The sequence below is a fragment of the Homo sapiens genome, chromosome 7 (assembly GCF_000001405.40).
Source record: "Homo sapiens chromosome 7, GRCh38.p14 Primary Assembly".
NCBI classification, from domain to species: Eukaryota; Metazoa; Chordata; class Mammalia; order Primates; family Hominidae; genus Homo; species Homo sapiens.
Window position 1 is genome coordinate 17,596,776 of NC_000007.14, and position 9,003 is coordinate 17,605,778.

A 9,003-nucleotide genomic window follows, 5' to 3' on the forward strand; every position below is an offset into this window, starting at 1 on the left:
AGGTGGAGCTTGCAGTGAGCCAAGATCACACCACTGAACTGCAGCCTGGGCGACTGCAGCCTGAGCGACAGAGCAAGACTCCATCTCAAAAAAGAAAGAAAAGAAAGAAAGAAAGAAAGAAAGAAAGAAAGAAGAAATGTGAGCCTAGAGAACTGGGAAGTTCCACATTTGCAAATCAGCCACCCAAATTAAAGGGCACAATTAAGACCAACAGAGCTAACAATCAAATACCAAGTAATATGCCAAGTACTTCACAGGTATGAACTCATTTAGTCTTTAAAATAACCTTATAAGATAGGTTCCAAAATTATTTCATTTTACAGATAAAAAATGTGGCTTTGAGAAATATGACTTCAAAATCTACACTCTTAAATTCTGTCATGTCTACCCATAGATACTGTGGTACAGCACTAAATTCAGTTCTGAGATCCTGATGTCAAAAAAAAAATGCAGAAAACAATGATTATGTTAGCATTTTGATTTTCCAACAAATTAAATGGGACCTTCAAAAGAGAAAAATTTTGAGACCAAGATTCAGAAAGAATAAATCATGCCTGGCCTTATGTTACAAATAGTGGATGTATTAACAGGCAGAAAAGAGTTTTCAACATTTTTTTCATAATCTGTTTCTTGTATAATCCTCCAATTAAAGCTGAGGACACAGTGGTGACCTGGAACCCAGCGGGTTTTCCACAAGTGAAGAAGGCACAGAGGCAGAAGAATAAATAGGTCCTCCAGCAGAGGGTCCTTTGTTTGCAAAAGAAATTTTCCTCATCTGGCTCAGTTTAACTTAGGAAGCAAGCCTAACAGGAGAGAACAGAGATCATGAAACTGATTAAAGCTTCTCTTGTGCTGCTTCATGTTCAGGATGAGATAAATGAGATAAATGAGAATAAAATCTGCAATAAAACAACCCGTTGAGGTAGCAATATACCAATTAAACTAAAACTCTTCTCTTGAATTGGGTTCAGCTGCATCTGTGGTAATTCTTATTCTCCTTTCTTCCCTGCGCCACTGCAGGGCACAGAGTTCCCCCTGCACCATGTCCACACACTGCTTTTCTGCATTCTGCTTATGTTGCTATAATCCAGATAGTTATTCATTCACAAATATTTATTGAGTCTCCATTACATGGGGTCCCCAAAGCTAATGGAAGAGTTAGCCTTCAACAACTACCTACATCTGCTCATACCATCCCCTCTTCTCGTTACTATGAAAAAATGTTCTATCAAAGCCCAATCACCCAAGTTTGTATTCTGAATTTTTTTGTCCTCCTGTTTCTCAGAAACCTTCCTCATCCACTATCTCATCTCTGTCATGATCGTCAAGCTTTTCTTTTCTATAGGATCATGCCCTATAACATACAAACATCACTTTCATAAAATTCCTGTCTTTACCATCATCTTCTTAAAGTTACCCATCTAAGTGTCAACTCCCAGCTCCACCCAAGCTTTTTAAAGAGGTATCTACACATCCTTTCTTTGCTTTTTTATCATACAGTCTTTAATCTAAATTACTCTTGATCATGGTTATTTCCCAAAGATGGCCCAAAACAATTATGCTGGTTCTTGTATAAGCAGACTGCTCCTCAATTCAAACAGTAAAGTTTATTACCTCTGCCCTTGACTCGGGTCTGAACCTGTGACTATTTTGGTCAATAAAATACATTGGAAGGGCTGCTATATACCTTGACCTGGCAGCTTCTGCTTTTCTTGGAGTGCTCCAGGAAGCAGCACTCTATCTCAGAAACTAGCCACCATGCTCTGAGAACCCACGCTACATGGAGTGACCATGCATAGGTGCTCACCCATCTCAGGGCCTATGTGTCATCTATTTACTCTTCCAAAGAGACTCGTCTGTTTTCCTGCTCTACATCTCAGTAGTTCCACTCATCCTTCAAATCTGAAATTAAATATTATTTTGTAAGAGATGGCTTGATTTGAAATACTCCAACTCAAATCAAGTACCAGTATTGTAATTTGTCATCAAACATTATATTTCTAATCCATAGTATTTATCAAAATTTGTAATGGATATTGTATTTGTATTTTATATCTGTCTCCCCTAACAAACATAATCTTCATGTTTATGTTGTTCACCATCATGATAGGCAGCTTTTCACATGGCTCCCAGTGATCCACAAATCCTGGTATTCATACTCTTGTATCATACTCTCCATTTGAGCATGGGCTGGACCTAGTGACTCACCTGAAATAAATATGTCAAAAGTGATGGAATATCATTTCCATAATTAGGTTGTAAAAGACTGTGAGTTGTGTCTTGCTAGCTGACTCTATTAGCTTCTCAAGTTGCATGCTTTGACAAAGCAAGCTGCCAAGTTGAAAGGATGCAAATGGCAAATAATTGAGGGCAATCACTGCCCAACAGCCATCAACAAAGTAAATCCTGCCAACAATTATGTATGTGAGTTTGGAGGCAGATTTTTCCTCAGTTAAGCCCAGTGGACCCCTTAATTTTAACCTGTGAAATAGTGGTCCCAAGTAAGCCATGCTCAGATTTATGGCCCATGGATACTATGAGATAGTAAAGAAGTGATGTTTTAAGCCACTAAGTTTTAGGGTAATTTGGTAGGCAGCAATATAATCATTGTGTCTCCAATACAAAAAAAAAATAAATTTTATTGTCATGTTTAGAGCTATTCTAAGCACTTCATATGTATTTATTCATTTAATCATGACAACAACCTCAGGAGATAAACACAATTATTTTCCTATTTACATATGAGGAAAGTGAAGCAGAAAGGTTAACTGCCAAAGTTCACTCAGCTAAGTAAGGATTAGAGTGAGTGCTCAGATTAGATATTTTAATACATAATCATTAATTCATTCATTTAGCAAATGAACGAATAAATGAATAACCCTATTGCTCTGAAAAGCAAGAGAATAAATATTTCAGGGACTACTAAAACACTTTTAGCACTTAAAAAAATTCAGTGAAATTAATCAATGCCCATGTAATGGACTCTCAGTGTGTGTTAGTACTTTGTGGCCCTGTTGTTGGCATAAAATAGCTGCTCCCTTAATCCAATATGCACTGTAAATATTACGTGTACTTTATGCTATCTACAGGTCGGTTTAGGAAATCACGCAGAAGAATCTGGTCATTAGCCAGGATGTATGGCACGAGATTTATGGCTGAGACAGGTGAATCTGACCATTTTATTCGACATAAATTACCAGCTTCAGCTGTAAGCAAACCACTTATCTATGTTGAATAGCTAATGGACAGTTTATAGGATATCTTCTTGTTTCCCATTCTGTGCTGTGCTATGTAATGCCAGCACCTTCACACCAGCAAGTTGGATCATGTGGTTCATATCGGATGACTTCCTTGCTATGATTTAGGTGTGGTTTCCAAATAATATAGTTCCAGAATATGGCTTGACTCCAAAGACTGAGACCAGCCTGATCACACATCTTTACCATATCCCTTATTAGAAGCAAAAATGAACCCTCAACAGTGATCATTTCAAAAGTTTGATTTGAATAAAAGAGAAATGGGTGGGACTAAATTCTTCAACACTAATCCTATTTTACCTCCCGGGATTCTGTGGGTGTTTGGGCAGTAATGTAATAACAAATATGCTGATATGTGTCTGAAAAGAATGTTACATGACCATGAGTCATTATGCCCATTGCTTCAAGGCTGTTTAGGTAGCTGGCAGGAAGTAGTATGTGTCTCCAGAGCATAAAATTGGCCGCAAAGTAGGTAGGGCCTATGAAAATACTGATGTAATGTAAACATTGTATTTCTAAACTATTTACAAGGTCATCCCTACCCTACATGAGAGGTCAGCTCTACCACTAAGAGGTCCCACATGGACTTCTACAATATTCTTTGGGTTTTGGCACTTTTGCAGCACAGCTCACTTCTGAAGTGTGTGGGAAAGGCCGAATAAAGTCATCAAAAGAACCCTTGATTTAGAGTTCATCTGTGGGATTTTCATTCAAGTCAGTTCACTTGGCTATAGTTTACTCAAAAATGAAAATAATCTTAGACCACCTTTTTTTTTAGGATTAGCCTCCTTTCCACAGCTTGATAGAATTCCCAGTGATGATAAACTATCTCTTTCTGATATCTCTCAGGGGCAATTTCACTCTGAGAGACAACATTAGCATATCACCCCATGGTCACCTAAACTTGCCCAGAGATTTTTCAATATCTACACCTCTCTTCTAATTTACATCCTAGTAACTTCAAACTGTGTGGAAAATAAAAAGTAGCATCTCCTCTCCAAAAGTTTGGGGACCGCTACCCTTAATAAGAAAGCATATAGGGAAGGAATGGCAATCACTTATGTATAAATCAGTTAACCTGATTATCCACCTTCTACAACACTCCTAAGACAATGTGTTTATTCTTACTTATAGTGAGACTGCTTTAAATTAAGAAAGGGGCCCTGCAGTAGCAGTTAATATTTATTAAACATTAATTTAATCCTCACAATAACCTGGAAGTAACGGATTTTACAAATGGGGGTTCTCAAATACAAAGAAGTAACTTTCCGAAGATCACGTGGCTCACATTGATAGAGTGATTGAACCACCTTAAACCAGAGACTTAGCCACACCTGAATCTAACTCAAGGAAACATCTCATTCTTCAGCATGACAGGCCAGGTCAGGATTGAGAGGCTAAAGTTTAAATCAGGTCCTCAGCTTCCTTTCTTAGCATGTTTTTCCCACCTCAGCCATCCAGTCCTTTCCCACACTCCAATAAGTCTGTTTTCCAGAAAACACAAGTTACCAGTCAGGATATGTTAAGATAAATCATTGCTTTGCCTCCCCTGAGGATATTTGCATTTAAAACACCTTGCTCTATTTTTCAACCTAAAAGTTTCTCAGCAAGTTGCCATTAAAGAAATTTTAGACATCTATCAGCAAATGTGGAGGAAAGAATGGGCCAGAAATGTGTAATTAAGGCAGAATTTTCCTTCATGCTTCAGAAAGCACACCACATGGAGCTACCAATCCGCTCATAATTTCTTGTCCAGAGATTCCTACCTTGCTGCTAAATGAGGAATAGAAATTGCATCCAAGTCTGTTAAAGTCAGCTTTCGTCCTTTGGGGTTTTTTCCCCAAGTTGGTGGATGGGGGGCTTTTAGCATTCCTCAGCCACTTGGAAATAGAAAGACAGTGCACACATATCAACTTTGTGAACTTTAATTCAGGAAGGAAAAAGGAAATCTACCAGAAACATGAAGGACACTACCTCCTGAGGAGGAGAATATAGGCAAATGGCCCCTATATAGGTACAGCTGATAAAATTGACTGAAGCCCTAGTATGTGAGAGAGGCAGAGAGCCTCCCTCTATGACTCACCTTTCCCCTAAGGATCTGAGCAACCCAGGCCAGGGAGAGCATTTTGTTTCTCCTAAGCTCTGGAGCTAAAATGGGGAGAAGCTTGGACATACTGTGAGAGAAAGACATTGGGAAAAGCTGTAGACATTTTCCCAGGCCAGAACCAAGAGGAGAATGTCATTTTTATTCTGAGTGCATACAAAATCAGCCATTCTTCGGTAACACAGCATCATGGCTGCACAGGCATTTTACTCTTGGGCCAGAGATTGCAGCACCTGCTCTGAAGCAGGGTAGGGGCCTCCACAGCTAGGACTGTGGAAAGTACCTCAGGAGTAGATCCTGGAATTGTGCTCTCCCCCATCACAGGTGTGGAGTGGGAGGAGAGCTGCTACCACTGCAGTTTTTTGGGGTGATGAGATTTGCAGCCAGGGCCACCTTGGTAACCTGAAACTGGTCTGAGTGTGCCATTGCTGTGTGCACCAGCCTGCTCCACTGAGATCATGGTGAAGCAGGGCCCTCTCCACTCTACTCCCAGGCAGATCTCCAGGCATTTAGACCATTTCCTCACCTGGATCAGCAGCCTGAGATGGCCTAACATTGGGGCCCTCTCCACTCCACGCGCAGGCACAACTCCAGGCATTCAGAGCACTTCCTCACCTGGGCCAGCAGCCTAAGTTGCCCAACCTTTCCTGCACAGAGATCCTGGTCCAGGAGGGCCGTCTCCACTCCATGACCAGGCAGATATCTAGGCATTTGGAGTGCCTATTCACCTGGAGCAGTGGCCTGACCCACCCCACCCTTCCTGTGTAGAAATTCTGTTATAGGGAGACCTTCTGTGCTTCAAACCCAGGCAGATCTGAAGGCATTCAGAGCACCTGCTTGCCTGGTTCAGAAGCCTGAGCTGCCCCACCTGCCTGCACAAAGATCTTGGTGTAGGTGGTGGTGGAGGGCTTTCTTCTCTATGCCCAGGCAGATCTTGAGGCATCTGGAGCACTCACTCTCCTGGATTAGTTGAGGCTGCCTGCTTCTCTATGCAGAGAACTTGGGAATGAGGAGATTTCCCAACGCTACACCTACACACACCTCTGGGCACTTAGTCACCACCCACTGGATTCTTCCTCAGAGCTGGTGCTTGTGCCTGCCATTGGGGGACCCATAGATGGATACGCCTGGTCTGGCTCTGACCATCTTGGCCCCCTTTCTCCTGCAGCTGAGCAGAGAGCTCAAACCACTGTGTACTCCATGAATCAACCCATTTCCTGAGGCAACAGAGAGTTTCTTCCAGTAAACAAGGATCAAGTATATACCCAGCATGTTGGCCACAATCTGGCTGTTAGAAGCATGATATCCTGGCTTATAGGTTGAACTGCACAGCCCAACATAAATCCTGCTAACAAAAGTACATAGGATATAGAAACAAAGCCAAAAGACTCTACACAGCATTTTCTACAGTTACACCCTCTATGGAGGAGGAGAAAGGGAAAGGGAAATAAAAAAAAATTACAGGGAAGGAAAAAGAGAAGAATCCTACCTGCATGAAATAATTATAAAAATTAGAAGTTCCAGTATCTCCAGATAAGAAGGAACTAGTGCAAGAATTCTGATACCATGAGAAATCTGAATATACTTATGCCACCAAAGAATCACACTAGCTCTCCAGAAATGGTCACTAACCAAAATGAAAACTCAGAAATGACAGATAAAGAATTCAAAGCATGGATTACAAGGAAGAGTAATGAGATCCAAGACAAGGTTGAAAATCAACACAAAGAAACTTCTAAAGCAATCCAGGAAATGAATGAAGAGATAAACATTTTTAAAAGAATCAATCTGAGCTCTGGGATTGAAAAACTCACTTTCAACCAGGTATTGCGATACACACGTATAGTCCCAGTTATTTTGGAGGCTGAGGCAGGAGGATCACTTGAGTCCAGGAGTTCAAGGCTGCATTGAGCTATGATTGTGCCACTGAACTCCAGCCTGGGAGGCAGAGTGAGACCCCATCTCTAAAACAAAAAGAAGAGAAAAGAAGGGAAAAGAAAAGAAAATCTTACTTAAGGAATTTTAAAATACAATTGAAAGCTTTATCAATAAACTGGACAAAGCAGAAGAAAGAATTTCAGAGCATGAAGATCAGTCTTTCAAGCTGACAGATAAAAATAAAGAAAAAAGAATTTTAAGAAAAGAACTGTTAGAGAAATACAGGATTATGTAAACCAACCAAACCTATGACTTATTGACATTCCTGAGAGGGAAAGAGAAAAAGTAAACAACTTCAAAAACATAGTTTAGGGAATAATTCAAGAAAGTTTCCTTCATCTTAGTAGAGAGGTAGACATTCAGATACAAGAAATGCAAAGAAAACCTTCTAGATATTATACAAAATAAACAGCACCAAGGCATATAGTCATCAGACTGTCCAAGATCAATGTTAAAGAAAAAAATCCTAAAGGCAACTAGGAAAAAAAAGGTCAGATCATGTACAGGGGAACCCCATTAGGCTAACAGCAGACTTCTCAGCAGAAACCTCACTATCCAGAGGAGATTTGGGGGCCTATTTTCAGCATTCGTAATGACTAGAAATTCCAACCAAGAATTTCATATCCTACCAAACTAAACTTTATAAGTGAAGGAGAAATAAAATCATTTCCAGACAACTATGCACTAAGAGAATGTATTACCACTAGACTGGCCTTACAAGAGATCCTTAAGGGAGTTCTAAACATGGAAATGAAAGAACAATACCTGTGACCACAAAACACACTTAAGTACATAGACCACATACCCTATTAGGCAACTACACAATAGAAACTACAAAGCAACCAGCTAACAACTTCACAGTAAGATCAAAACCTAACAAATCAATATTAAACTTGAATGTAGGTGGTTTAAGTACACCACTTAAAAGGCACAGAGTGGCAAGTTGGGCTAAAAGAAATAAGACCCATCCATCTGCTGTCTTCAAGAAACCAATCTCACGCATAATGGCACCCATAGGATCAAAGTAAAGGGTTGGAGAAAGATCTACCACACAAATGGAAAACAAAAAAGAGCAGGGGTGACCATTCATATATTAAATAAAATAGACTTTAAATCAACATCAGTAAAAAAAAGGATGGGGGGAGAAAAAGAAAGGCATTACATAATGATAAAAGGTTTTAATCAACAGGAAGACCTAACTATCCTAAATATACCTGCACCCAACATTGGAGCATACAGATTCATAAAATAAGTACTTCTGGACCCATGAAAAGACTGAGACGGCCACAAAATAATAATTAAGGACTTCAACATTTCACTGACAGCATTGGACAGATCATTGAGGCAGAAAACTACCAAAAAATTCTAAATTTAAATTGAACACTTGACGAATTGACACTAATATATATCTACAGAATACTTTGTTCAACCACAGACTATACAATCTCCTCATCTCCACATAGAACATACTCCAAGATTGACCACATGCTTGCCCGTAAAGCCAGTCTCAATGAATTTGAGAGAAAGGAAATTATACCAGCAATCTCTCAGACAACAGTGGAATAAAGATAGAAGTCAATATCTTTATTGATCCCTAAAAAACCATAAAATCCCTAAATCCCATAAAATCCATAAAATCCTAAAAAACATAAAACCCTAAAAGGGATTTAAAGATCCCTAAAAAACCATACAATTTCATGGAAA

General features: G+C 39.7%; 1 annotated feature.

Moving 5' to 3' along the window:
• Positions 2,083 to 2,584: an enhancer, noted in NCBI's record as "NANOG hESC enhancer chr7:17638482-17638983 (GRCh37/hg19 assembly coordinates)". NCBI's record gives its function as "activates a minimal SCP1, AML or CMV promoter by ChIP-STARR-seq in primed H9 embryonic stem cells {active_cell/tissue: H9 hESC(primed)}" and the evidence as "EXISTENCE:reporter gene assay evidence [ECO:0000049][PMID:30033119]".